The 27,383-nt window shown below is 48.4% G+C and overlaps 2 pseudogenes, besides 8 other annotated features; one reads left to right on the top strand and one right to left on the bottom strand.

Annotated features, from left to right (window-relative positions):
• IGKV1OR2-118 (immunoglobulin kappa variable 1/OR2-118 (pseudogene)) lies at window positions 961-1,930 on the top strand (annotated as a pseudogene).
• Window positions 13,308-13,887: an enhancer, noted in NCBI's record as "OCT4-NANOG hESC enhancer chr2:90470323-90470902 (GRCh37/hg19 assembly coordinates)". NCBI's record gives its function as "activates a minimal SCP1, AML or CMV promoter by ChIP-STARR-seq in primed H9 embryonic stem cells {active_cell/tissue: H9 hESC(primed)}" and the evidence as "EXISTENCE:reporter gene assay evidence [ECO:0000049][PMID:30033119]".
• On the bottom strand, window positions 15,500-16,214 carry LOC101926946 (uncharacterized; annotated as a pseudogene).
• Window positions 18,273-19,021: an enhancer, noted in NCBI's record as "H3K27ac-H3K4me1 hESC enhancer chr2:90475288-90476036 (GRCh37/hg19 assembly coordinates)". NCBI's record gives its function as "activates a minimal SCP1, AML or CMV promoter by ChIP-STARR-seq in naive and primed H9 embryonic stem cells {active_cell/tissue: H9 hESC(naive and primed)}" and the evidence as "EXISTENCE:reporter gene assay evidence [ECO:0000049][PMID:30033119]".
• Window positions 19,864-20,393: an enhancer, noted in NCBI's record as "H3K27ac-H3K4me1 hESC enhancer chr2:90476879-90477408 (GRCh37/hg19 assembly coordinates)". NCBI's record gives its function as "activates a minimal SCP1, AML or CMV promoter by ChIP-STARR-seq in primed H9 embryonic stem cells {active_cell/tissue: H9 hESC(primed)}" and the evidence as "EXISTENCE:reporter gene assay evidence [ECO:0000049][PMID:30033119]".
• Window positions 23,247-24,234: an enhancer, noted in NCBI's record as "H3K27ac-H3K4me1 hESC enhancer chr2:90480262-90481249 (GRCh37/hg19 assembly coordinates)". NCBI's record gives its function as "activates a minimal SCP1, AML or CMV promoter by ChIP-STARR-seq in primed H9 embryonic stem cells {active_cell/tissue: H9 hESC(primed)}" and the evidence as "EXISTENCE:reporter gene assay evidence [ECO:0000049][PMID:30033119]".
• Window positions 24,235-25,221: an enhancer, noted in NCBI's record as "OCT4-H3K27ac-H3K4me1 hESC enhancer chr2:90481250-90482236 (GRCh37/hg19 assembly coordinates)". NCBI's record gives its function as "activates a minimal SCP1, AML or CMV promoter by ChIP-STARR-seq in naive and primed H9 embryonic stem cells {active_cell/tissue: H9 hESC(naive and primed)}" and the evidence as "EXISTENCE:reporter gene assay evidence [ECO:0000049][PMID:30033119]".
• Window positions 25,222-26,209: an enhancer, noted in NCBI's record as "OCT4-H3K27ac-H3K4me1 hESC enhancer chr2:90482237-90483224 (GRCh37/hg19 assembly coordinates)". NCBI's record gives its function as "activates a minimal SCP1, AML or CMV promoter by ChIP-STARR-seq in naive H9 embryonic stem cells {active_cell/tissue: H9 hESC(naive)}" and the evidence as "EXISTENCE:reporter gene assay evidence [ECO:0000049][PMID:30033119]".
• Window positions 25,222-26,228: a biological region, named in NCBI's record as "OCT4-H3K27ac-H3K4me1 hESC enhancer GRCh37_chr2:90482237-90483224".
• Window positions 25,934-26,228: a silencer, noted in NCBI's record as "tiled region #11653; K562 Repressive non-DNase unmatched - State 7:EnhWF". NCBI's record gives its function as "represses a minimal TATA promoter and a strong SV40 promoter by Sharpr-MPRA in K562 cells {active_cell/tissue: K562}" and the evidence as "EXISTENCE:reporter gene assay evidence [ECO:0000049][PMID:27701403]".

Raw genomic sequence — 27,383 nt, 5'->3', positions numbered from 1 at the left:
GGGCAGTGTCTTGGCAGAAGATGGAGATTCTCTCTAAATGCATGTGAGACAGGGTGGCTGGCATCTGGGTCAGGATGATGCCCTGGTGCATGGCAAGAACATGCCTTGTGCAGCAGCTGCCCTCACTAAGGAGAGAGGCTCACTGACCTGGCTTTTCCCCCTCACCTGCTCTCCAGAAAGCCAGACTCTAGGGCAGATGCTCCTGAGACCCCAGGAACAGGCTGGTGGGGAGCGCAGCTCAGAGCATTACTCAGGGGATGTGGCCTTTGTCATCCTACTTTGAAACAATTGACTATTTGAGCCTAGATTGATACAGGGCTTCAAGTTGATTTTAATCCAGGCTCCTATAGTCAGCGAGTGAAACAGAGATTTTAGTTGAAATAATGAGACCTGGTGTTACTAGTCAGCTCTCCATGCTGGAGAACCATAAGAAATTATACCAAAGGCAGGAAAGGGGATAGAATATGGGGATCATCACGCCAAGAATAAGGTGCAGCCCATTTAGCCCCTGGGTCTTAAAGAGACCCATAGCTCTGGATAATGGCAGATCTATGTGTGACACAGTTATCATCTTGGTGCATCTTCAGAGAATTGTTTTTCCTTTTACTCCTAGGGACAATGTCTTAAGTTTGTTAGTAAATTCTATTGAATTTATTAAAGATGCTTCTGATAAATTCTTTTTATATTCATTTCAAACAAGAAGCAATTTCACACTGACATTGTTATTATAGCACTAAATACTTTTACACTCATCAAATTCCTTTGAGACTAACTGAAATTTCTGACAGCCCCACATTCTACAACTTTATTGTAAATTTTCTGCCAAAAATGATGCTTTCCTATACACTCCTAATACAAGTATAAATATATTATTTAATCTAGTCTTAGGTTGATTTAAAATTTTGAAAATTCACTCCAAAAATATGTTCTGTAACCATATGGCCACCAATGAGAAATGCATTCTTTCAAGGTAAATCTGTGCTGCCCTGGTTTGACCTGGGACTCTGGGGATACTGCGCCCCTGTGCTGAGTTACTGAGATGAGCCAGCCCTGCAGCTGTGCTCAGCCTGCCCCATCCCCTGCTGATTTGCCTGTTCCTAGAGCACAGCCCCCTGCCCTGAAGACTTTTTATAGGCTGGTCACACCCGGAGCAGGAATCAGCCCCAGTCAGGACACAGCATAGACATGAGGGCCCCCACTCAGCTCCTGGGGCTCCTGGTGCTCTGGCTGCCAGGTAAGGAAGGAGAACACTAGGATTATACTCGGTCAGTGTGCTCAGTACTGTCTGGAACTTCAGGGAAGTCCTCTGATAACATGATTAATTGCAACAATATTTGTTTTTATGCTTCCAACTTCAGGTGCCAGATGTGACATCCAGATGACCCAGTCTCCATCCTCCCTGTCTGCATCTGTAGGAGACAGAGTCACCATCACTTGCCGGGCGAGTCAGGGCATTAGCAATAATTTAAATTGGTATCAGCAGAAACCAGGGAAAACTCCTAAGCTCCTGATCTATGCTGCATCCAGTCTGCAAAGTGGGATTCCCTCTCGGTTCAGTGACAGTGGATCTGGGGCAGATTACACTCTCACCATCCGCAGCCTGCAGCCTGAAGATTTTGCAACTTATTACTGTCAACAGAGTGACAGTACCCCTCCCACAGCGTTACAAGTCATAACATAATCCCCAAGGAAGCAGATGTGTGAGGCTGGGCTGCCCCAATGCTCCTTCTGGTGCCTCTATCTGCTGAGGGAAGTTCTCAAACTCAGTCAGGTTTGGAAAGTCATTGGGAGATTTTCCTAGAGGAGGCCAGGGAGGTTCCTCTGAACCCTAAGCCTCTTTCACCCTCATCCCCAGCAGAAAAGATGTGACAATGCCTGTCCTGACTGAATAAAGAAGAGAGATAAGTCCAACTGAGGAGTCTGTGTTATGGGATAATTGGAATTTGTACAGCAAAAGAGAAGCTATTCTCAGTATTTCAAGGAGAAATTATTCAAGTTGAATAAATTAGAGCCTAAACCACAGTCTTTCCGAAGCCTATGGAATGTTATTCATGAAGCAGGTACTAGACACAGGGGATTCTCAGGTGCTACTTCAGAAGCCAGGGTGCACCTGCCCCTGGTGGTATGTGCTGAACACCATGTGATGATCCTCAGGCCTGTCTGGGAAGCCCAGGTCTTCCCAGACAGGAATGCTTTGATAAATCCACTGCTAGGTAGGTAATTCTTCTGTAACATTAATAATTCGGTTTTACTTTTGGATCCTAAAGTGGGACTACTTAGAAAATCTGCAAAAATCATGCGAAGAAAATCATGTAAAATCATGATCTTTACTTAGGCACTTACAGGTGAAATGACGAGGTATCTGGAATTGCATTAAAATAGATCAAGGTGAAAAAGACTGACAAAAACATTAACTGTTAAAACTTGGGGCTATATATCAAAGACATTAGTTTCTCTATGAGTATATTTCAAACTTTCCTCAATAAATTTTTTAAAAATTCAATTTAAAATTCAAGCCACAAATAAATGCTTTTTAAAAATTTCTTAGATTATACAAATAGTGCCATAACATCAAGAATAATCCCAAATCATTCCATATACTTCAAAAGATACAAAACCAGGCTGGGTGCGGTGGCTCACGTCTGTAATCCCAACACTTTGGGAGGCCGAGGTGGGCGGATCACCTGAGGTTGTGAGTTTGAAACCAGTCTGACCAACATGGAGAAACCCCGTCTCTACCAAAAATACAAAATTAGCTGGGTGTGGTGGTGCATGCCTGTAATCCCAGCTACTGGGGAGGCTGAGGCAGGAGAATCACTTGAACTCGGGAAGTGGAGGTTGCAGTGAGCCGAGATTGTGCCATTGCACTCCAGCCTGGGCGACAAGAGCAAAACTCCATCTCAAAAAAAAAAAAAAAAGACACAAAAGCAGGAACTCTTTTCCAGGAGCAATCCCATTTAGTTAAGAAAAAGAAGAAAAAAATATTCCCTAGATTCAGCCAGTTCCTTATCTCTACTGTCCTTCAGAGTCAAATTTCTTTAAAAAATAAGCAACTCTGCCAGGCGTGGTGTCTCACGTCTGTAATCCCAACACTTTGGGAGGCCAAGGAGGGCGGATCACAAGGTCAAGGGATCGAGACCATCCTGGCCAAGATGGTGACACCCCATCTCTACTAAAAATACAAAAAATAGCCCAGCGTGGTGGCACACGCCTGTAGTCCCAGCTACTCAGGAGACTGAGGCAGGAGAATGGCTTGAACCCAGGAGGCGGAGGTTGCAGTGAGCCGAGATCACGCCACTGCACTCCAGCCTGGTGACAGAGCAAGACTCTGTCTCAAAGAAAATAATAATAATAATAATAAGCAACTCCATCTCTCCCCACTTCATCCTTCTCAGCCCTCGATCCTCTGTGATCTGGCGCATGTTCCTGCTGCCTTACTGAGGCTGCTTTAGTAAGGGTACTAGTAAGCTTCCAACTGGCAACTCCAAATGACTATTTTCAGTATACAACTTACTTGGAGTCTACTTAGCATCTTCAGTTATTGAACTTCCTCCTTTAACTCACTTCCAAAATACTACTCTCTCCTCCTTCCTTCTCTATTTCTTTGTTGGCTCTTCTTCCTCTGCCTTCTCTTCAAATATTTCTACTTCCTCTCACTCCTTCTAGTTCTCTTTTCTGTTTCCACAATACTTGTTCTATCAACTACTCCTTTCACTTCATTCACAATAATACTGATGATTCCCAAGCATATATCTCTCATCATGCGTCCCCCTCACATATCTGCTCTTTAATTCTTCTTTTTAATTCATTTGATACCTTCTAAAAGTCTCTCACAATTCAGATAGTCCTTCAAGCCAGGAACATGGGAGTCATTCTCAAATTATCTTTCTCACTCACCCCCTGTCCCATCTCCAAATTTTTATATAAGCTTCAGATTTCATGGACTGTATTTAAAAATTTTTTATAGTTGATGTGTCTCTATTTCAGCAGCTACTGTTTTATCATTTCTCATCTTAGACTATTACAATCTTTCTGGCTGTGTTTACAGATCTTTCCAGTCCACCCCCACACTGAGGTCAGGAGATCTTTCTAAAATGTATTTCATACTCTATCTTGCTTAAAACTTTCAAGTGCTTAACAACTAAATGCAGTATATATTTCCAGATTGGATCCTGGACCAGGGGAAAAAAAAATGCTATAAAGATCCTTTTTAGAACATCTGAATATAGACTATATCAGATAATAGAATATCAATGTTACATTTCTTTAACTTGGTAATGTACTATAATCACATAAGGAAATGTCCTTGCTCTTAGGAAATATACACAGAGGTAGTTAGGGACAAACTAGCAAATGATTTAGGGGAAAAAATGATACCTACAGAGAGAGCAAACACAATAAAGCAAATATAGCAAAACATTTTCAATTGGTGAATCTGGGTAAAGGGTATACAAGATTCTTGCAACTCCTCTATTAGTTTGAGATCATTTTACATAAAATATTTTTGGCTGGGCATGGTGACTCACGCCTATAATCACGGCACTTTGAGAGGCTATAGCAGGAGGTCTGCTTGAGCCCAGGAGTTCCAGACCAGCCCTGACAACAGGGTGAGACTCTGTCTCTCTAAAAAATTAAAAATTTGTCTGTGTGGACTGGAGTATATCTGTATTCCCAGCCACTTGGGAGGCTGAAGTGGGAGGATCACTTGTGCCCAGAAGGTTGGCACCGCAATGAACAATGACTGTGCCACTGCACTACAGCCTGGGCAACAGAGCAAGACCCTGTCTCAAAAAAAAAAAATTAAACCTCCCACATTCCCTGTTACATGTAAGATAAAAGTTTGAACTCCTTGGTTAGGCTCTCTGTGATCTGACTCTTGCCCCCTCTACCATTATCGGTCATCAACTGAGAGGAGGACCACAACCAACATCCTACTCTCCACACACAAAGATTACAAATTTCTGAACACACCAAACTGCTTTGTTCCATGTCAAACATGTTCTCTCTACTTCCTGCACCTTGTCTGTCTGACAAGCACCTTCTTATTTGATGCTATTCAAGCCTCACCTCCTCTTACTCTGCACTCCTTTCTACTTTCCTCTTCCAGATGAAAATAACCACTCCAGGCCACGCATAGTGGCTCACGCCACCCAGCACTTTGGGAGGCTGAGGCAGATGGATCACAAAGTCAAGAGATTGAGACCATCCCAGCCAACATGGTGAAACTCCGTCTCTACTAAAAATACAAAAATTAGCTGGACATGGTGGCGAGTGCCTGTAATCCCAGCTACTCGGGAGGCTGAGGCAGGAGAACTGCTTGAACCCAGGAGGCAGAGGTTGCAGTGAGCCGAGATCGTGCCACTGCACTCCAGCCTGGCAACAGAGCAAAACTCCGTTTCAAAAAAAAAAATCTCAAATACTCGGCCAGGTACATTGGCTCACGCCTGTAATCCCAGCACTTTGGGAGGCTGAGGTGGTGGATTACCTGAGGTCAGTAGTTCAAGACCAGTCTGACCAATATGGTGAAACCCTGTCTCTACTAAAAATGCAAAAAAAATTAGCCGGGCATGGTGGCATGCGCCTGTAGTCCCAGCAACTCCGGAGGCTGAGACAGGAGAATTGCTTGAGCCCGGGAGGCAGAGGTTGCAGTGAGCCGAGATCACACCACTGCACTCCAGCCTAGGCAACAAAGCAGGACTCCACCTCAAAAAAAAAAAAAAAAAAAAAAAAAAAAAAAAAAAAAAAAAAAAATCTCACTACTCCCAAATTATGTATTTTTAAAAATGTTTTTTATTTTTTTTATTTTTATTTTTTTTTTGAGATGGAGTCTTGCTCTGTCGCCCAGGCTGGAGTGCAGTGGTGCAATCTCGGCTCACTGCAAGCTCCGCCTCCTGGGTTCACACCATTCTCCTGCTTAGCCTCCCAAGTAGCTGGGACTACAGGTGCCCGCCACCATGCCTGGCTAATTTTTTTATATTTTTAGTAGAGACGGGGTTTCACCATGTTAGCCAGTATGGTCTTGATCTGACCTTGTGATCTGCCCGCCTCAGCCTCCCAAAGTGCTGGGTTTACAGGCGTGAGCCACAACGCCCAGCCTAAAAATGTTTTTTTCTTTCCATGTCCCTGATACAGCTTTTCATCAACTTTCCCAAAGTATGAAAAGAAACACGTATTTTTCACTAAGAGGTCAACCTATTTTCAATCTCTTACACCATTCTACATGTTGATGAACATAAGTTCTAATAAAATTTTATCTGTTTCTCATTACTCATAAATATTATCTATTTATCTAATTGCATCTAAATGCCATTTTATTGCAAATATCCCATTCACCAACTTCAAAAAGAGAAAAACAAAACAAGCATCATTAAAAACAAAGCAAGAAAGTAGCAAAATAGATAATTCCAATATCACCTATAAGTACTCAGTTATCTTAAACAAATGAACTCAGATTGTCGACAAAAAAATCCAAGGCCCATTCATTAAAGCAAATAAATAACTCATATAACATCTAAAAATCTCACTCATGACCTATTTTCCTTTACTTGTGACCCAAATTTAGTTACTGGAGTATCTTAGACACTAGCAAAATAGAAAGGTAAGACAAGCTTCTGGACAGATTGTAACGGCAGACAGCAAAGAAACAAAATACACAAAAAAAGTCTATAGGCTGGGCGCGGTGGCTCACGCCTGTAATCCCAGCACTTTGGGAGGCCAAGATTGGGGGATCACGAGGTCAGGAGATCGAGACCATCCTGGCTAACATGGTGAAACCCCATCTCTACTAAAAATACAAAAAATTAGCCAGGTGTGGTGGCGGGCACCTGTAGTCCCAGCTACTTGGGAGGCTGAGGCAGGAGAATGGCATGAACCTGGGAGGTGGAGCTTGCAGTGAACCGAGATTGCACCACCTCACTCCAGCATGGGCAACAGAGCGAGACTCCGTTTCAAAAAAAAAAGTCTATATAGAATCTTAACATAGTCTGCTAGAACAATTTTTTTTCTAAAGAAAATACATCAAATTGAATAATATTAAATGACAGGAAAAGGAGTAAACATTATAGAAACCTCCTTTAAAAATTAAAAACTATTTCAACTTTAAAATGAGTGGGTATTAACAGCTCAGGGAGCACATCTGCTTCTTCAAAACAGGCAGAGTAGGAAAAAAATGTTGCTAATTTTTAAGAAATCATATAAATCAGTTTTTTGATCATTATTAAACTATTCATAATAAAATTAACATATTACAACCATTCATACAAATGTTTACTACAGACACACCTGAACTCAAGCAGTATTAACATTTCAATTTATTTTAGGAATGATGAAAAAATTGTTCCAGCATTTAAGAGACCACCATTTTGGCCAGGCCCAGTGGCTCACACCTGTAATCCCAGCACTTTGGGAGGCCGAGGTGGGCAGATCACCTGAGGTCAGGAGTTCGAGACCAGCCTGACCAACATGGAGAAAGCCCGTCTCTACTAAAAATACAAAATTAGTTGGGTGTGGTGGTGCATGCCTATAATCCCAGCTACTGGGGAGGCTGAGGCGGGAGAATTGCTTGAACCAGGTGGTGGAGGTTGAGGTGAGCCAAGATCGCACCATTGCACCCCAGCCTGGGCAACGAGAATGAAACTCCATCTCAAAACAAACAAAAAAGAACACCACTTTTCATTTTACTGAATTACCTTTCCTGTTCAAGAGCATACTCCAACATTTTGATCCTCCTCACAAGATCCTTCTTCAAATTTTCTTGGCCCTTCCTTTCTCCCTGTAGGAAGGTAATCTGGGCCTGAGTAGGGGAAAGACAGACAAAATTCAGTTTAGACCAAAAAAAAACCAGTTTTTTTTAACTCAGTAAAGAACCTTTGGAAGTTAGAACAATTAGATGCAAAAATATTTCCTTTACACATTTCTCACAAAGCATGTAGAAATATAAAAATGCACTGACTGCAAGGGGGAAAAAGGATTTAAGTTAAAAAGGGCGGGGGGACATCTAAATGCATTGTACTTCAGGGTAGGGATTTTACAACACATAGTCCACATCATTTAAGAGTCTACAATATAAAACAACTAATACTGCCGGGTGCGGTGGCTCACACCTGTAATCCCAGCACTTTGGGAGGCTGAGGCGGGTGGATCACTTGAGGTCAAGAGTTCGAGACCAGCCTGACCAACATGGTGAAACCCTGTCTCTACTAAAAATACAAAAATTAGCCGGGCATGATGGCACCTATAATCCCAGCTACTCGGGAGGCTGAGGCAGAAGAATTGCTTGAACCCAGGAGGCAGGGGTTGCAGTGAGCCGAGATTGCGCCACTGCACTCCATCCTGGGTAACAGAGTGAGACTCCATATTAAAAAATAAAACAACTAATATTAATACAAACAAATGCAAGGTGTACAGTACAGTTTGCTAAAGCGTTTGTCTTTTTGCCATCAACAAGATCTTTTTATAAAGCAGGAAGGGTTAAAGTAAAATCAGTTCTTATAATCCCCTTGCACAAGCTTCATCATATATTTAAATTTTATGTCAGATTCCTTAAGTGACTTTATTTTGGACCTCCCCTACAAAAAATAAGTTGCTCCCTTTTCTCAATCCCCACCATTTTTCTCACCCACCTTGACATGTAATCCATAGAAAAAAGAAAGTGAAAGTTGGGAAAAGGAAAATTAGAGACAATGGCCTTCTGCCCATTCCTGCCCCCCACCCCAAGGAATTACTAAAACCCTACATTTGAACATGAAACAAACTGTAAACAACTTTTAAAGTCAGTAAAACAGAGGGGCTAGGAAAGAGTAGCTCTCCAGAATATTAAGAGAACATTTACAACTGAAATACTATCTTTCACATAAGAAATTGAAACTATGTCACAAACACTAACTTGTTAAGGTGACTCATAATACCTCTTAAAAGTCACAAGGGCCTCAAAACTAGCTATAAATTTCACTATTCTCACATATACCACCACCCCCGTCTTTTATACTGACCCACTAAGACAGGTAACAATGTTATTTATGTATCTACAGTGCTTTCCATTAAGTGAGCAAGAACTTTACATTTAAGGATGACCTTGCCACATCCCTAAGGAATTGTGAGGATTGTGCAACTCAGGTTTAGCAAGTGAGCCATTAAACTTAATTCTCATTCAAACTTAGTTTGAATGACCTTTGTTTCTATTCTGTACCACAAGAAACATAAAATCCAACTTATCTAGTCTCTTATAACTTTCAAAATATAGGTAGTGTTGAGCTTTTCTTTTCATTTCAATATGCTCTTAAATTTTACATTACAATTAAAGGAAGGATTACGTTTATCTTACTGAAATAAAAGTGGTCTGAAAACAATTCAATTGTTTTCAGAGGAAAAGGCATCAAATATCCACAAGACTCTTTTGAAATTATATATTCTGCAGTGGGATAATTATGTTACCTAACCAGAATAGTAATGACACATGCATTTAAAGCTGATAAAAATGAAAGTCTTGTCAAAAGGAAGTGACAGCCCAACTTGTCAGGCCAAACATGCTTTGGCATAGAACTTTATATGCTCTTTAAAATGATTTTAATAAAAATAATAAGCTAATCAATGCAATCAAACTTTGAAGGTAATAACAATATCAATTATCAATTTTGTCCTCTCGATACTCCTTGGCTAGTTTTGCATTTCTGCTAACATCATTGGTCCTGGATGATTCTGAAACTTCAGCCTACAATACCATAACGTCTTTACTGTATATGTTCAACTTCAAGCATAAGAGAAGTTACAATTAAAAGTATAATCAGAGGCTGGGCACAGTGGCTCAGTCCTGTAATTACAGCACTTTGGGAGGCCGAGGTGGGAGGATAACTTGAGCTCAGGAGTTTGAGCCTAGCCTGGGCAACATAGCGAGACCACTTCCCTACAAATAATTTAAAAAATCAGCCAGGCATGGTGGCATGTGTCTGTGGTCCCAGCTACTTGGGAGGCTGAGACAGGAGAATCACCTCAGCCCAGGAGGCCAAGGCTGCAGTGAGCAGTGATCACACCACCACACTCTAACATGGGTGACAGAGTGAGACCTTGTCTCAAAAAAAAAAAAAAAAAAAAAGGGGATGGGGGGTGGGTGGTGGGGTGGTAATCAGGGCCAGGCATGGTAGCTAATGCCTGTAGTCCCAGAACTTTGGGAGACTGAGGTGAGAGGATTGCTTGAGGCTGGAGTTTGAGACCATCCTGGCCAACATGCCAAGACGGCTCATAAAAATATTAAAAATATAAAAAATAAAGTACAATCAGATTTCTCCTTTTCCATCAGATGGATAAAGTTCAGTAACTTAATAATATGGTAGAAAACAGACATTTATATGTTAGCTGTGGTGATATAAACCAGTTTCACTTTATAGAGGACAACTGGTAATATCTGTCAAGTTTATAAATGCATATACCCTTTAACTCAGCAATTTTAGAATGTTATCCTTCAAATATATATTTGTACATACATGAAATTATATAATACATTACTGATAAAACACAGACAAGAATATGTATACAACCCAAATGACCACCTAAAGGAGACTGGTTAAATAAATGAGTATAATTGAAAGAAAATTAGGACCTGAACTAAGACCTTTGAGAAAAGAGTAAAAGACTATGAGAATAATGTCAATCTTTTACCTTTTTTTCTCTAGAAAACTAAGACATTAGAAACAAAAAGTCTTAAAACACATTCCTACATAAAAAAAAGAATTCCTTCTGTAAAACGACCTCAGTCGAAAACATAATAATTGGTATAAATTCTTACTCTTTTAAAATAAAGATTAAATTCCAGCTAAAAATTCTCCAGATATGGCAGTATATTGCTCTTTGAATTGAACTGAGGAAGGGCGAGGGTGAGAGACATAAAAGATGAAAACAGTGAAAGGAAGAAATAAAGGGAAGGGAAAAAGTAAAAAGAAAAAGAGGAAAATAGGTCGGACACAGGGGCTCACACCTGTAATCCCAGAACTTTGGGAGGCTGAGGCGGGGGGATCACCTGAGGTCAGGAGTTCGAGACCAGCCTGGCCAACACAGTGAAACCCTGTCTCCACTAAACATACAAAAATCAGCCAGGCACTGTATTCGCAGCTACTCGGAAGGCTGAGACAGAAGAATTACTCAAACCCGGGAGACGGAGGTTGCAGTGTGCAGAGATCGCACCACTGCACTCCAGCCTGGGCGACACGGTGAGATTCCATCTTTAAAAAAAAAAAAAAAAGGCAGGGCGTGGTGGCTCACCCCTGTAATCCTAGCACTTTGGGAGGCCGAGGCGGGTGGATCACGAGGTCAGGAGTTCAAGACCAGCCTGGCCAAGATGGTGAAACCCCATCTCTACTAAAAATACAAAAAAAAATTAGCCGGGCGTGGTGGCAGGTGCCTGTAATCCCAGCTACTTGAGAGGCTGAGGCAGAGAACTGCTTGAACCCAGGAGGTGGAGGTTGCAGTGAGCCGAGACCACACCACTGCACTCCAGCCTGGGCAACAGAGTGAGACTCCGTCTCAAAAAGAAAAAAAATAAGTGTTATGAATAAATATGTTTAAAAACTTACAAATCATCAACTGCCATTTATCAGTACAACTAAACTTAATGATAACAGGATATATTTCTGGAGAAGAAAACTTTGGAATTATTTTCAAGGAAAATGAATGTTGAACTTCCATGATACTTTATGTGTATTTTTCACAGTATAGAAAATTAGATATTCACTTCCTAACCATCATAAACAAAAAAGATAAAAATAATAGAAGGAAGATATTTTACTATTTAAGTCTGCATGACAGAAAGAAAATTTATTTTTTTATTTAATTTTTTATTTTATATATTTATTTTTTTTGAGATGGAGTCTCACTCTGTTGCCCAGGCTGGAGTGCAGTGGCACCATCTCAGCTCACTGCAAGCTCCGCTTCCCGGGTTCACGCCATTCTCTTGCCTCAGCCTCCTGAGTAGCTGGGACTACAGGCGCCCGCCACTGCACCCAGCTAATTTTTTGTATTTTTAGTAGAGACGGGGTTTTACCGTGGTCTCAATCTCCTGACCTCGTGATCCGCCTGCCCCGGCCTCCCAAAATGCTGGGAACAGGTGTGAGCCACCGTGCCCAGCTGAAAATTTATTTTTATATTATTTTCAATTCTAATTTGTCAAAAGGATATATGTAAATAGGAATATAAATCTTCTATATTTAAACAGGTTTATCTGCATACGTAATATCTAATAAACAATTAAAATATTTAAAATGTACCACTTAATTTATTAAAGCCCCCCCACCCTTTTTTTTTTCTTTTGAGACGGAGTCTCACTCTGTGGCCCAGGCTGTAGTACAGTGGTGCGATTTCGGCTCACTGCAACTTCAGCCTCCCGGGGTCAAAGTAATTCTCCTACCTCAGCCTCCTGAGTAGCTGGGATTACAGGTGCGCACCACTATGCCCAGCTAATTTTTGTATTTTTAGTAGAGACGGGGTTTTACCACTTGGTCAGGCTGTTCTCAAACTCCTGACCTCGTGATCCACCCACCTCGGTCTCCCTGAGCCCTGGGATTAGAGGTGCGAGCCACCGCGCCCAGCCTTATTGAAGCCATTTTAAACTACTGTGTATTCTGAAATTTAAAAGGGCTAGGATTCAAAATTGAAATCACTGAGAAGTATATTCAAAATGAAAAATACACAAAATTCTTGGGTTGGACACTTTTCAGTAGCTTTTCAGTTACTTGCTATGGAATATAAAAAGCATTCACTTTTACAAAAATCTAAAATAAAATATTATAAAACTTGATTAATTTAAGGTTCTCATCTTTTGATTTGAACACAAACTTCAAAGTAAAAGAGGAAATATATAAGTAAAAGTCAATTATACGGTTACAGTGTACAGTGAAGTTTCAATAATCTGCTTTATGTCTTAATGCCTTCTATAAACTGTATCTATTCCCTCTGAAAAGCTTTGGATTATATTATCCTCTTAAATCTAGGCTGCTAGTTTTCTCTGGCACATAATCACTGCCTCTAGCCCTCTCTCTTAAAGACAGTGTCTTTATCAGGCTAGGCACAGTGGTTCATGCCTGTAATCCCAGCATTTTGGGAGACCGAGACAGGTGGATCACCTGAGGTCAGGAGTTTGAGACCAGCCTGACCAGTATCATGAAACCCCATCTCTACTAAAAATACAAAAATTAGCCAGACATGGTGGCGTGTGCCTGTAGTCCCAGCTACTCAGGAGGCTGAGACAGGAGAATTGCTTGAACCTGGGAGGTGGAAGTTGCAGTAAACCAAGATCATGCCACTGCACTCCAGACTGGGCGACAGAGCAAGACTCCATCTCAATTAAAAAAAAAAAGCATCATTATCATTTGGTGACATCAAACTTTACCATCAGAGTCACCCAGATGACTTGTTAAAACACAATTTTTTAGGTTCTACCCTCAGAGTTGCTCATTCAGTAGGTCTGGAGTGGGGCCCAAGAATTTGCATTTCTAGTAAGTACCCAGGTGATAATGCTGCTGATCTGGGACCACCCTTGGAGAACCACTGACTTAAACCATTTGTAACACAGTTAGAAGGCCAAAAACAAAAAACAAAGCAAAGCAAAACAAAACAAAACAAAAAGCAGGAAATAGTCTGTTAAGGAGCAAGGAAAAGAACAGTCCCAGAGGCCGGGCGCAGTGGCTCACGCCTGTAATCCTAGCACTTTGGGAGGCCGAGATGGGCGCATCACTTGAGGTCAGGAGTTCTTAACCAGCCTGGCCAACATGGTAAAACCCCCATCTCTACTAAAAATATAAAAAAATTAGCCAGGTGTGGTCGCAAGCACCTGTAATCCCAGCTACTCAGGAGGCTCAGGCAGGAGAACTGCTTGAACCTGAGGTAGAGGTTGTGGTGAGTCGAAATCATGCCACTGCACTCCAGCCTGAATGACAGAGCAAAACTGTCTCAAAAAAAAAAAAGAAGAAGCAGCAAAGAATAGTCCCAGAACCCTCTTTTTTTCCCCAAAGTGTTGGGATTACAGGTGTGAGCTACCGCGTCCAGCCCCAGAACCCTACCCTTTTTACTCCACAGAAGTATGGAGTCTTATACAGGCCTTCAAGCTGACAGATGAGTACATACTAGCTTTTTGATTCTCTTCCAAATTCCTTATTTATGACTATACTTTTGGCAGACTCCTGATAAAATGAAATCTACCAATGTATTTCAGTTCAATCACGTGTTTGGGAAATACCTACTTCCCATCAGGTCTAAACTGCTGTAAAGGAGAATATAGGAAAAACAAATAAAACCAAGTTTCTACCCACAATGTACTTCCAATCTAGTTAGGGTAAAAAAGCAGCACACATATGTTCACAAAAACAGCTAAGAAAAGATAGTGCAGTACTAATAAATGAGGATTCAAGTGATAAAATCAAATATTTGTATTTCTTCATTTAACAATATTAGCTAAACACCTACTTTGTGCCTGGCACAGTTATTGGTACTGGGACTAAAGTAGTGACAAAACAAAACAGAGCTAACAATCCAGTGAATGAAACATATGTTGCCTAAGATGTATGTGTACCAGTAGCATACGTTATATTTACTTAGAACCAGAAACACAGTTGCAGGCAAAAGCAGTGAATATAAAAATAAACACAAAAAGCAACTGGATGCCTATTTAACTCTAGAGTCAAGTAGAGAACTGATGTTCAACTTAAAAATTGCTTGCTTGCTTATTCATTTATTTGTTTATTTCTTTGAGACAGGGTCTCACTCTGTTGCCCAGGCTGGAGTGCAATCATAGCTCACTGCAGCCTCGAACTCCTGAACTCAGGCAATCCACCTGCCTCAGCCTCCCAAAGTGCTGGAATTACAGGCTTGAGCCACCACGCCGGGCCTATGTGTTTTTAAGGAGGCCGGCCTGAGTGTGGTTTTCCTTGTTGAAATGTGTCTCTAAGCAGGTTCCTGGCTCCTGGACTTTCTGGGGCAGGGTTTCCACCCTGTCCCTGGGCAGCCCAGGGGCTGACCCGGAAACCGTGAATTCAGCATGCTCAGCAAAGCCTGCAAAGCCATCCTCTTCTGGACAAAGTTCAGACTTCAATTCCTCTGTTCTCAGATGTCAGGCATAGAGCAGAGCCTTGTTAACCATGGTCACACTGTTTCATACTGAATTGTTACAAATTAGTACTTATTCATCCTGCGTAACTGCAACTTTGTATTTTTAACCAATACCTCTTCATTTCCTCCTGCTGATGATCAGGGTATATCCATAGATAATCATCACATTGGCCTGGTGCGGTGGCTCACACGTGTAATCCCAGAACTTTGGGAGGCCGAGGCGGGCGGATCACGAGGTCAGGATACGAGACCATCCTGGCTAAAACGGTGAAACCCTGTCTCTACTAAAAATACAAAAAATTAGGTGGACATGGTGGTGGGTGCCTGTAGTCCGAGCTACTGGGGAGGCTGAGGCAGGAGAATGGTGTGAACCCGGGAGGCGGAGGTTGCAGTGAGTCGAGATCGCACCACTGCACTCCAGCCTGGGCAACAGAGCGACAGAGCAAGACTCTGTCTCAAAAAAAAAAAAAAAAAAAAAAAAAAGTCCACCAAGGAGTTTTGCTTCACCCATGAAAGGAAGAAAACGGTCCAGGTAAAACAACCATCGGGATGTAACAAAAAATTGTCAATGATCACACCCTATAGAGGTGGCTGATTTGATACAACAGCCAGTGAAATTTTTGACGACAAATATTGCAGACTGCAAGAGACGCTTCTTGTTCGTGGAAATAGAAATAAAGCATGGTGTCTGCACCCGGCTTTCCGCTGTAAGCTGAAGTACTTCACGGCAGCAGGAATTGGGCAACCCACCGTTTACACTCCACCCTTTGAAACTGGGCTGAATGGGGTGGGGACCCGCCTTTGGGGAGAAAAGCAAATTTTATTTAAGCCCCTGAAAGAGGAGAGGGTTGGCCAGGCTCGGTGGCTCACGCCTGTAATCCCAGCACTTTGGGAGGCTGAGGTGGGTGGATCACTTGAGGTCAGGAGTTCGAGACCAGCCTGGCCAGCACGATGAAACCCAGTCTCTACTGAAAATACAAAATGAACCAGGCGTGGTGGCACATGCCTGTAATCCCAGCTACTGGGGAGGCTGAGGCAGGAGAGTCGCTTGAACCCGGGAGGCGGAGTTTGCAGTGAGCCAAGATCATTCCATTGCACTCCAGCCCGGGTGACAAGAGCGAAACTCTGTCTCAAAAAAAAAAAAAAAAAAATGCGTATTCCCCAGCCACCGGAAAATGAGATTTCTGAGCAGCTGGATCTGATAATTACCATGAGGTGTCATTACATGATATACACGTGCTTGGAAACAGTATATGTCATAAATGTGTACAATCATTATGGAGTTTTTTTTCTTGAGACAGGGTCTTGCTCTGTTGCCTAAGCTGGAGTGTGCAGTGATGCAATCATGGCTCAGTGCAGCCTTAACCTCCTGGACTCAAACCATCCTTCCACCTCAGCCTCCCCAGTAGCTGGAAATACAGGTCTGCACCAGTAGGTCCAGCTAACTTTTGTACTTTTTTTTTAAGAGATGGGATCTTGCTATGTTGCCCAGACTGGTCTTGAACTTCTGGCCTTGTGATTCTCCCACCTCAGCCTCCCAAAGCGCTGGGATTACAAGCGTGAGCCACTGCGCCTGATCCGAACGTTGACTCTTAAAAATAAAATAAAACTTTAGAAAAGAAGAAAATCTAATGGTGTTTTTTGTCTTTTCATTGGCTCTGTGTTACTTTGTAGCTCCAATTTTTCTTTCCTTCATTAAGTCAGCTCCAAATTTGCAAACTGAAGTGAAACGTGAGTGAGTTTTTTGTGTATCTTCTTGGCATGGGGTGGTGAGTGTGTGTACGTGTGTGTGTGTGTGTGTGTGTGTGTGTGTGTGTGTGTATTTGTATGTCCAGGGTTCCTCAACATCCCTGAAGACACTTGGGGCTCCTTAATATCCATATAATTTCTATTTTGACCAGAAAGAGGAAAAGTCAACATTTTGGAAACTCCAAACTCCACCAGGGGCTTGGCTGAAACAGGTGTGTGTCGTTTCTCCAACCAGCCAGCTCACCTGCAAATCTCAGAACTTATGTTAATGAGAGTTGCCTGCCCACAGCTCTTCTACGAATAATGTTTTTGTATGTAAAGGAGAAGCAAAAACATTTTTTTGACCTCTTGGAGCACGAAAATCAATAAGAAGTTGATAAAGCAAAGTCTGTGCCTGCTGAAAATAAAACAAGTGTGGTTTGTTTACCCACTGAAGCCTTCACGTTGTCAGGCTTGCGTCGAGATGATTTATAGACCAACACCCCATGAAATCATTTAAGGCAGATTAGATTCCCAGGACAATCCTCTCTAATATGACAAGCTGATAGAGGCTGACAGGTAACTAGGTTGTTCAGGATGGCAAGCCAGTCCCAGAAATTCTGATTAAATTAAAATATTAATGGTACCGCCGGGAGAGGAAGATTGAGTTGAGGTGGGCAAATTCTGTATGAGGACCGAGGAGCAAACACCACGTCGCAGTCGCTGTGCTGGAAGCAGAAGCCTGGGGGTGCCAGGGGGAGTTACCTTTGCTAAACCCGAAAGCAGGGCTTGCATTGCAATGAACTGTGCGGTGCTGGAGACAGGGTGGGGACAACACACCTGCCAGGCTCAGAAGGGAACACGGAGATTCCCTAATCACCTCCTCTCTCCTGCAGCTGCAAAGGTGACGGCCGGAGACCCTCATCTCTGCAGCTCTTAATTCCCCAGTAACCTCTCCCATGGCCTCTGCAAATGCTGGTTTGCAGGGCACTTTAACCCAATCTGAAATTGAGACTCCAGCATCATGACTGTGTACAGATTCTCTAGGAAACTGTCTTGTGCCGGCTGGATGAAAGCTTATTGCTGTGTGTGTGTAGTGTGTGTGTGTGGTTTTGTTTTTTCCTTACAGAGAAAAATGCAAACAATCTTGCCCCGGCCACAGGAAAAGGAGATTCCTGAGCAGTGTACATTTGCTCCTCTTTCTTTCTTTATCTTTCTTTCTTCTTTCTTCCTTTCTTTCCCTGTCTCTCCTTCCTTCTGTCTTCCTTTCTTTCTCTCTCTCCTTCCTTCCTTCTTTTTTCTCTTTCTTTCTTCTTTCTTTCTCTCTCTCCTTCCTTCCTTCTTTCTTCCTTTCTTTCTCTCCTTCCTTCCTTACTTCCTGCTTTCTTTCTCTCTCTCCTTCTTTCTTTCTCTCTTTCTTTCTTTCCTTCCTTCCTTCCTTCCTTTCCTTTCTTTCTCTCTCTCTCACTCTCTCTCTCTCCCAATCTCTCTCTTTCTCTCTCCCCTTCCTTCCTTCCTTCCTCCTTCCTTCCTTCCTTCCTTCCTTCCTTCCTTCCTTCCTTCCCTTTTCTCTCTCTCTCTTTCCAGCTGGCTTGGCTGGCTGGCTGACTTGGCTGGCTTGTGTGGCTGGCTGGGCTGGCAGCGGTGGCTGGGTTGGCTGGCTGGCTGGGCTGGCTGGGCTGGCTGGGCTGGCTGGCTGGCTTGGCTGGCTGGGCTGGCTGGCTGGCTTGAATGGCTTGGCTGGCTTGGCTGGCCTGGCTGGCTGGCTGGCTTGGCTGGCTTGGCAGGCTGGCTGGTTTAGCTGTCTTGGGTGGCTGGGTGGCTGGCTGGCTTGGCTTGCTGGGCTGGCTGGCTGGCCTGGCTGGCTGGCTGGCTTGGCTGGCTTGGCAGGCTGGCTGGTTTAGCTGGCTTGGTTGGCTGGCTGGCTTGGCTGGATTGACTGGCTGGCTGGTTTAGCTGGCTTGGTTGGCTGGCTGGCTTGGCTGGATTGACTGGCTGGCTGGCTTGGCTGGCTTGGCTGGCTGGCTGAGTTGGCTGGCTTGGCTGGCTTGGGTGGCTTGGCTGGCTGGCTGGCTTCATTGGCTTGGATGGCTGGCTGGCTTGGATGGCTGCCTGGCTTGGCTAGCTTGGCTGGCTGACTGGCTTGGCTGCCTTGGCTGGCTTGGCTGGCTTGGCGGGCTTGGCTGGCTTGGCTGGCTTGGCTAGCTGGCTTGGCTGGCTTGGCTTGCTGGATGTCTTGGCTGGCTTGGCAGGCTGACTTGGCTGGCTTTGCTGGCTGGCTGGCTTTGCAGGCTTGGCTGGCTTGGCTGGCTTGGCTGGCTTGCTTGGCCGGCTTGGCTGGCTGGGTGGCTTGGCTGGCTTGGCTGGCTGGCTGGCTGGGTGTCTTGGGTGGCTTGGCTGGCTGGGTGGCTTGGCTGGTTTGGCTGGCTGGCTTGGCTGGCTGGCTTGCTGGCTTGCTTGGCTGGCTTGCCTGGCTGGCTGGCTAGCTTGGCTGTCTGGGCTGGCTGGCTCTCTTGGATGGCTTGGCTGACTGGGTGGCTGGCTTGGCTGTCTGTGCTGGCTGGCTGGCTTGGATGGCTTGGCTGACTGGGTGGCTGGCTGGCCTGGCTGGCTGGGTGGCTGACTGGCTTTGCAGGCTTGCTGGCTTGGCTGGCTGGGTGGCAGGCTGGCCTGGCTGGCTGGCTGGCTGGGTGGCTGGCTGGCGTGGCTGGCTGGCTGGCTGGCTGGCTTGGCTGGTTTGGCTGGCTGGCTGGCTTGGCTCGCTTGGCTGGCTGTCTGGCTTGACTGGCTGTCTGGCTTGACTGGCTTGGCTGGCTGCCTGGCTTTGCTGGCTGGCTGGCTTGGCTGGCTGCCTGGCTTGGCTGTCTGGGCTGTCTGGGTGGCTTGGCTGGCTTGGCTGGGTCGGTGGCTTGGCTGGCTTGGCTGCCTGGCCGGCGTGGCTGCCTTGGCTGTCTGGCCGGCTTGGTTGGCTGGCAGGCTGGCCGGCTTAGCTGGCTGGCTGGTTGGCTGGCTTGGCTAGCTGACTGGCTTTGCTGGTTGGCTGGCTTGGCTGGCTTGGCTGGCTGGTTGGATGGCCGGGTGGCTTGTCTGGCTTGGCTAGCCGGCTGGCTTAGCTAGCTGGATGGCTTGGCTGGCATGCCTGGCTTGGTTGGCTGGCTAGTTTTGCTGGCTTGGCTGCCTGGCTGGCTTGGCTGGCATGCCTGGCTTTGCTTGCTGGCTGGCTTGGCTGACTTGGCTGCCTGGCTGGCTTGGCTGGCATGCCTGTCTTGGCTGGCTGGCGGGCCTGGCTGGCTTGGCTGGTTTGGCTGCCTGGCTGGCTTGGCTGGCATGCCTGTCTTGGCTGGCTGGCGGGCCTGGCTGGCTTGGCTGGCTTGGCTGGCTGGGAGGCTTGGCTGGCTTGGCTGGCTGGTTGGCTGGCTGGCTTGGCTGGCTTGGCTGGCTTGGCTGGCTTTGTGGCTTCACTGGCTTGGCTGGCTGGCTGGCTTGGCTGGCTTGGCTGGCTGGCTGGCTGGCTGTCTTGGCTGGCTTGGCTGCCTGGCTGGCTGAGTGGCTTTGCTGGCTGGCTGGCTGGCTGGCTTGGCTGGCTTGGCTGGCTAGCTGGCTTGGCTGACTTGGCTGGCTAGCTGGCTAGCTGGCTTGGCTGACTTGGCTGGCTAGCTGGCTTGGCTGACTTGGCTGGCTTGGCTGGCTTGGCTGGCTGGCTGGCTGGCTGGCTTGGCTGGCTTGGCAGGCTGGCTGGTTGGGTGGCTTAGCTGGCTGGCTGGCTGGCTGGGTCGCTTGACTGGCTTGGCTGGCTGGCTTGGCTGGCTTGGTTTGCCAGGCTGGAGTGCAATGGTGCAAACTTGGCTAGCTGCAGCCTCCACCTCCTGTGTTCAAGTGATCCTCCTGCGTTGGCCTCCCGAGTAGCTGGGATTAGAGATGAGTGCCACCACGCCCATCTATTTTTTTTGTATATTTAGTGGAGACGTTGTTTCACCATGTTGGCCAGGCTGGTGTTTTTTTCATTTTCTTTTTTTTCTGAGTGGGAGTCTCGCTCTGTTGCCCAGGCTGGAGTGCAGTGGTGCAATCTTTGTTCGCTGCAACCTCCACCTCCCGGGTTCAAACGATCCTCCTGCCTGGGCCTCCCGAGTAGCTGGGATTACATTCGTGTGCTACCATGCTCAGCTAATTTCTTTGTGTATTTAGTACTGAGGGGGTTTCACCATGTTGGCCAAGGTGCTCTTTTTTTTTTCTTTTTTCTGAGATGGAGTCTCGCTCCATTGCCCTGGTTGGAGTTCTTCTTTTTTTTCAGATGGAGTGTCACTCTGTTGTCCAGGGTTCAGTGCAGTGGTGCAATCTTGGCTGGCTGCAACCTCTACCTCCCGGGTTCAAGCGATCCTCCTGCCTGGGCCTCCCGAGTAGCTGGGATTACAATCGTGTGCCACCACGCTCAGCTAATTTCTTTGTATATTTAGTACTGACGGGGTTTCACCGTGTTGGACAGGCTGGTCTTTTTTTTTTTTCTTTTTTTTGAGATGGAGCCTTGCTATATTGCCCAGGCTGGAGTGCTTTTTTTTCAGATGGAATCTCACTTTCTTGCCCAGGCTGGAGTGCAGTGGTGCAATCTTGGTTCGTTGCAACCTCCACCTCCTGTGTTCAAGCGATCCTCCTGCCTGGGCCTCTCGAGTAGCTGGGATTACAGGCGTGTGCCACCACGCCCAGCTAATTTTTTTGTGTATTTAGTAGAGACGGGGTTTCACCACGTCGGCCAACCTGGTCTTTTTTTTTTTTTTTTTTTTTTTTCTGAGATGGAGTCTCGCTCTGTTGACCAGACTGGAGTGCTTCTTTTTTTTCAGATGGACTCTCACTCTGTTGCCCAGGCCAGAGTGCAGTGGTGCAATCTTGGCTCGCTGCAGCCTCCACCTCCCAGGTTCAAGTGATCCTCCTGCCTGGGCCTCCCCAGTAGCTGGGATTAGAGGCCTGTGCCACCACGTCCAGCTAATTTTTTTTGTATATTTAGTAGAGACGGGATTTCAACATGTTGGCCAACCTGGTCTTTTTTTTTTTTTTTTTTTTTTTTTTTGAGTTGGAGTCTCGCTCTATTGCCCAGGCTGGAGTTCTTATTTTTTTTCGGATGGAGTCTCACTTTTTTGCCCAGGTTGGAGTGCAGTGGTGCAATCTTGGCTCGCGGCAGCCTCCACCTCCCAGGTTCAAGCGATCCTCCTGCCTGGGCCTCCTGGGTAGCTGGGATTACATTCATGTGCCACCACGCCCAGCTAATTTCTTTGTATATTTACTAGAGACGGGGTTTCACCATGTTGGCCAGGCTGGTCTTTTTTTTTTTTTTTTCCTGAGATGGAGTCTCGCCCTGTTGCCCAGGCTGGAGTGCAGTACTACAATCTTAGTTCACGGCAACCACCCCCTCCCGGGTTCAAGTGATCATCCTGTCTGGGCCTCCCGAGTACCTGGTATTACAGGTGTGTGCCACCAAACCCAGCTAATTTTTTTTTTTTTTTGAGATGTAGTATCGCTCTGACACCACCGTGGAGTATAGTGGCGCCATCTCGGCTCACTGCAACCTCCGCTTCCCAGGTTCAAGCAATTCTCCTGCCTCAGCCTCCCGAGTAGCAGGGATTACAGGCATGTGCCACCACACCCAGCTAATTTTTCTATTTTTAGTAGAGACGGGGTTTCACCATGTTGGTCAGGCTGGTCTCGATCTCGTGACCTCGTGATCCACCCACCTCGGCCTCCCAAGGTGCTGGGATTACAGGCATGAGCCACCACGCCCGGCCCTATTTTTTTTGTATATTTAGAAGAGACGGGGTTTCACCATGTTGGCCAGGCTGGTGTTTTTTTTGTTGTTTTTTTTTTTTGAGATGGAGTCTCGCTCTATTGGCCAGGCTGGAATGTTTCTGTTTTTTCAGATGGAGTCTCACTCTGTTGCCCAGGCTGGAGTGCAGTGGTGCAATCTTGGCTCGCTGCAGCCTTCACCTCCCTGATTCAAGCGATCCTCCTTCCTGGGCCTCCCGAGTAGCTGGGATTACAGACGTGTGCCAGCACGCCCAGCTAATTTTTTTGTATATTTTGTAGAGATGGGGTTTCACCGTGTTGGCCAGGCTGGTATATCTTATTTTATTTTTTCTGAGATGGAGTCTCGCCCTGTTGCCCAGGCTGGAGTGCAGTGGTGCAATCTTGGCTCGCTGTAGCCTCCACCCCCAGGGTTCAAGCGATCCTCCTGCCTGGGCCTCCCGAGTAGCTGGGATTACATTCATGTGCCACCACGCCCAGCTAATTTCTTTTTATATTTAGTAGAGATGGGGTTTCACCATGTTGGCCAGGCTGGCCTTTTTTTTTTTCTTTTTTTTTTCTGAGATTGAGTCTCACCCTGTTGCCCAGGCTGGAATGAGGTGGTGCAATCTTGGTTCGCTTCAACCTCCACCTCCCTGGTTAAAGCGATCCTCCTGCCTGGGCCTCCCGAGTAGCTGGGATTACGGGAATGTGCCACCACGCCTAGATAATTTTTTATACATTCAGTAGAGACAGGGTTTCTCCATGTTGGCCAGGCTGTCTTTTTTTTTATTTTTTTTGAGATGGAGTCTCGTCCTGGCATGGCTGGCTGGCTGGCTTGTATGGCTTGGCTGGCTGGCTGGCATGGCTGGCTTGGCTGGTTCGCTGGCTGACAGGCTTGGCTGGCTGGGTGGCTTGGCTGGCATGCCTGGCTGGGTGGCTTGGCTGGCTTAGTTGGCTGGGTGGCTTGGCTGGCTGGCTGGCTGGCTGGCTGGCTTGGCTGGTGGGGTGGCTTGGCCGGACGCCTCGCTTGGCTGGCTGGATGGCTTGGCTGGCATGGATTGCTTGGCTGGCTGGCTGGCTTGGCTTGCGTGGCTGGCTGGATGGCTTGGCTGGCTTGGCTGTCTTGGCTGGCTGGATGGCTTGGCTGGCTGTGTGGCTTGGCTGTCTTGGCTGGCTGGGTGGCTTGGCTGGCTGTGTGGCTTGGCTGGCTTGGCTGGCTGGGTGGCTTGGCTGGCTGGCTAACTGGCTTGGCGGGCGTGGATGGCTGGCTGGCTTGGTGGGTGGCCGGCTTGGCAGGCTGGCTGGCTGGCCTGACTGGCTTGATGGCTAGATGGCTTGGCTGGCTGGGTGGCTTGCCTGGCTTGGCTGGCTTGGCTGTATGGCTGGCTTGACTGGCTTGGCTGGCTGGCTGTCTTGGCTGGCTTGGATGGCTGGCTGGCTTGGCTGGTTGGCTGGTTTGGCCGGCTTGGCTGGCTTGGCCGGCCGGGTGGCTTGGCTGGCTTGGCTAGCCGGCTGGCTTAGTTGGCTGGATGGCTTGGCTGGCATGCCTGGCTTGGCTGGCTGGCTGGCTTGGCTGGCTTGGCTGCCTGGCTGGCTTGGCTGGCATGCCTGTCTTGGCTGGCTGTCGGGCTTGACTGGCTTGGCTGGCTTGGCTGCCTGGCTGGCTGGCTGGCGGGCCTGGCTGGCTAGGTGGCTTGGCCTGCTTGGCTGGCTGGGTGGCTGGCTGCCTGGCTGGCTGATTGGCTTGGCTGGCGTGGCTGGCTGGGTGGCTTGGCTGGCTGGGTGGCTTGGCTGGTTTGGCTGGCTGGCTGGCTGGGTGGCTTGGCTAGCTGGCTGGCTGGGCTGGTTGGCTGGCTTGGCTGGCATGCCTGGCTTTGCTTGCTGGCTGGCTTGGCTGGCTTCGCTGCCTGGCTGGCCTGGCTGCCTGGCTGGCTTGGCTAGCATGCCTTTCTTGGCTGGTTGGCAGGCTTGGCTGGCTTGGCTGGCTTGGCTGTCTGGGCTGGCTGACTGGCTTGGCTGGCTTGGATGGCCGGGTGGCTTGGCTGGCTTGGCTGGCTGGGTGGCTTGGCTGGCTTGGCTGGCTGGGAGGCTTGGCTGGCTTGGCTGGCTGGGTGGCTGGCTGGCTTGGCTGGCTTGGCTGGCTTGGCTGGCTTGGGTGGCTGGCTGCCTGGCTGGCTGATTGGCTTGGCTGGCTTGGCTGGCTGGGTGGCTTGGCTGGCTGGGTGGCTTGGCTGGTTTGGCTGGCTGGCTGGCTAGGTAGCTTGGCTAGCTGGCTGGCTTGGCTGGTTGGCTGGCTTGTCTGGCTTGGCTGGCTTGGCTGGCTGGCTTGGCTGGCTGGGTGGCTTGGCTGGCTTGGCTAGCCGGCTGGCTTAGTTGGCTGGATGGCTTGGCTGGCATGCCTGGCTTGGCTGGCTGGCTGGCTTGGCTGGCTTGGCTGCCTGGCTGGCTTGGCTGACATGCCTGGCTTTGCTTGCTGGCTGGCTTGGCTGGCTTGGCTGCCTGGCTGGCTTGGCTAGCATGCCTGTCTTGGCTGGTTGGCGGGCTTGGCTGGCTTGGCTGGCTTGGCTGGCTTGGCTGTCTGGGCTGGCTGACTGGCTTGGCTGGCTTGGATGGTCGGGTGACTTGGCTGGCTTGAGTGGCTGAGTGGATTGCCTAGCTTGGCTGGCCGGCTGGCTTGGCAGGGTGGCTGGCTTGGCTGGCTTGGCTAGCTGGCTGGCTGGCTGGCGGGCCTGGCTGGCTAGGTGGCTTGGCTGGCTTGGCTGGCTTGGTGGCTTGGCTGGCTTGGCTGGCTGGGAGGCTTGGCTGGCTTGGCTGGCTGGCTGGCTGGCTGACTTGGATGGCTTGGCTGGCTTGGCTGGCTTGGGTGGCTGGCTGCCTGGCTGGCTGATTGGCTTGGCTGGCTTGGCTGGCTGGGTGGCTTGGCTGGTTTGGCTGGCTGGCTGGCTGGGTGGCTTGGCTAGCTGGCTGGCTTGGCTGGCTTGGTTGGCTGGCTCTCTTGTTTGGTTGGCTGGCTTGGCTGCCTTGGCTGGCTGGCTGACTTGGCTGTCTGGGCTGACTGCGTGGCTGGCTGGCCTGGCTGGCTGGGTGGCTGGCTGGCTTGGCTGGCTTGTCTGTCTTGGCTGGCTGGGTGGCAGGCTGACCTGGCTGGCTGGATGGCTGGCTGGCCTGGCTGGCTGGGTGGCTGGCCGGCCTGGCTGGCTGGGTGGCTGGCTGGCTTGGCTGTCTGGCTGGCTTGCTGGCTGTCTTGGCTGGCTGGGTGGCTTGGCTGGCTGTGTGGCTTGGCTGGCTCGGCTGGCTTGGCTGGCTGGCTGGCTTGGCTGTCTGGGCTGGCTGGCTTGGCTGTCTGGGCTGGCTGGCTGGCTTGGCTGGCTTGGCTGGCCGGGTGACTTGGCTGGCTTGAGTGGGTGAGTGGATTGGCTAGCTTGGCTGGCCAGCTGGCTTGGCAGGCTGGATGTCTTGGCTGGCTTGGCTGGCAGGCTGTTTTGGCTGGCTTGGCTGTCTTGGCTTGCTGGGTGGCTTGGCTGGGTCGGTGGCTTGGCTGGCTTGGCTGCCTTGGCTGTCTGGCCGGCTTGGTTGGCTGGCAGGCTGGCCGGCTTGACTGGCTGGCTGGTTGGCTGGCTTGGCTAGCTGACTGTCTTGGCTGGTTGGCTGGTTTGGCTGGGTTGGCTGGCTGGCTTGGCTGGCCGGGTGGCTTGGCTGGCTTGGCTAGCTGACTGGCTTGACTGGTTGGCTGGCTTGGCTGGCTTGGCTGGCTGGCTTGGCTGGCCGGGTGGCTTGGCTGGCTTGGCTAGCCGGCTGGCTTAGCTGGCTGGATGGCTTGGCTGGCATGCCTGGCTTGGCTGGCTTGCTGGCTTGGCTGGCTTGACTGGGTGGCTTGGCCATCTTGGCTGGCTGAGTGGCTTGGCCGGCTTGGCTGGCTGGCTGGCTTGGCTGGCTGAGTGGCTTGGGCAGCTTGGCTGCTGGCTGAGTGGCTTGGCCGGCTTGGCTGGCTGGCTGGCTTGGCTGGCTGAGTGGCTTGGCCAGCTTGGCTGGCTGTGTGGCTTGGCTGTCTTGGCTGGCTGGGTGGCTTGGCTGGCTTGGCTGGCTGGGAGGCTTGGCTGGCTTGGCTGGCTGGGTGGCTGGCTGGCTTGGCTGGCTTGGCTGGCTTGGCTGGCTGGGTTGTTTGCCTGGCTTGGCTGGCTGGGTGGCTTGGCAGGCTTGGCTGGCTGGCTGGCTGGCTGGCTTCGCTGGCTGGGTGTCTTGGCTAGCTTGGCTGGCTGGGTGTCTTGGCTGGCTTGGGTTGCTGGGTCTCTTGGCAGGCTGCTTGGCTGGCTGGGTGGCTTGGCTTGCTTGGCTGGCTGGGTGTCTTCGCTGGCTTGGCTGGCTGGCTGGCTTGGCTGGCTTGACTGGCTGGCAGGCTTGGCTGGCTTTTCTGGCTGACTGGCTTGGCTGGCTTGGCTGGCTTGGCTGGCTGGGTTGGCTGGCTTGGCTGGTTTGGCTGGCTGGCTGGCTTGACTGGCTTGGCTGGCTGGCTGTCTGGCTTCCATGGCTTGCTTGGCTGTCTGGCTTGGCCGGCTTGGCTGGCTGGCTGTCTTGGCTGGCTTGGCTGGCTGGGTTGACTGGCTTGGCTGGCTCGCTGGCTTGCCTGGCTTGACTGGCTTGGCTGTCTTGGCTGGCTGGCTGGCTTGGCTGGCTTGGCTGGCTTGGCTGGCTGGCTTGTCTGGTTTGGCTGCTTGGGCTGGCTGTCTGGCTGTGCTGTCTGGCTGGTTGGCTGGCTTGGCTGGCTTGGCTGGGTGGCCGGCTTGGCTGGCTTG

Source organism: Homo sapiens, chromosome 2 (assembly GCF_000001405.40).
Source record: "Homo sapiens chromosome 2, GRCh38.p14 Primary Assembly".
Lineage (NCBI taxonomy): Eukaryota > Metazoa > Chordata > Mammalia > Primates > Hominidae > Homo > Homo sapiens.
This window is presented reverse-complemented; position numbering and strand designations above follow the sequence as displayed.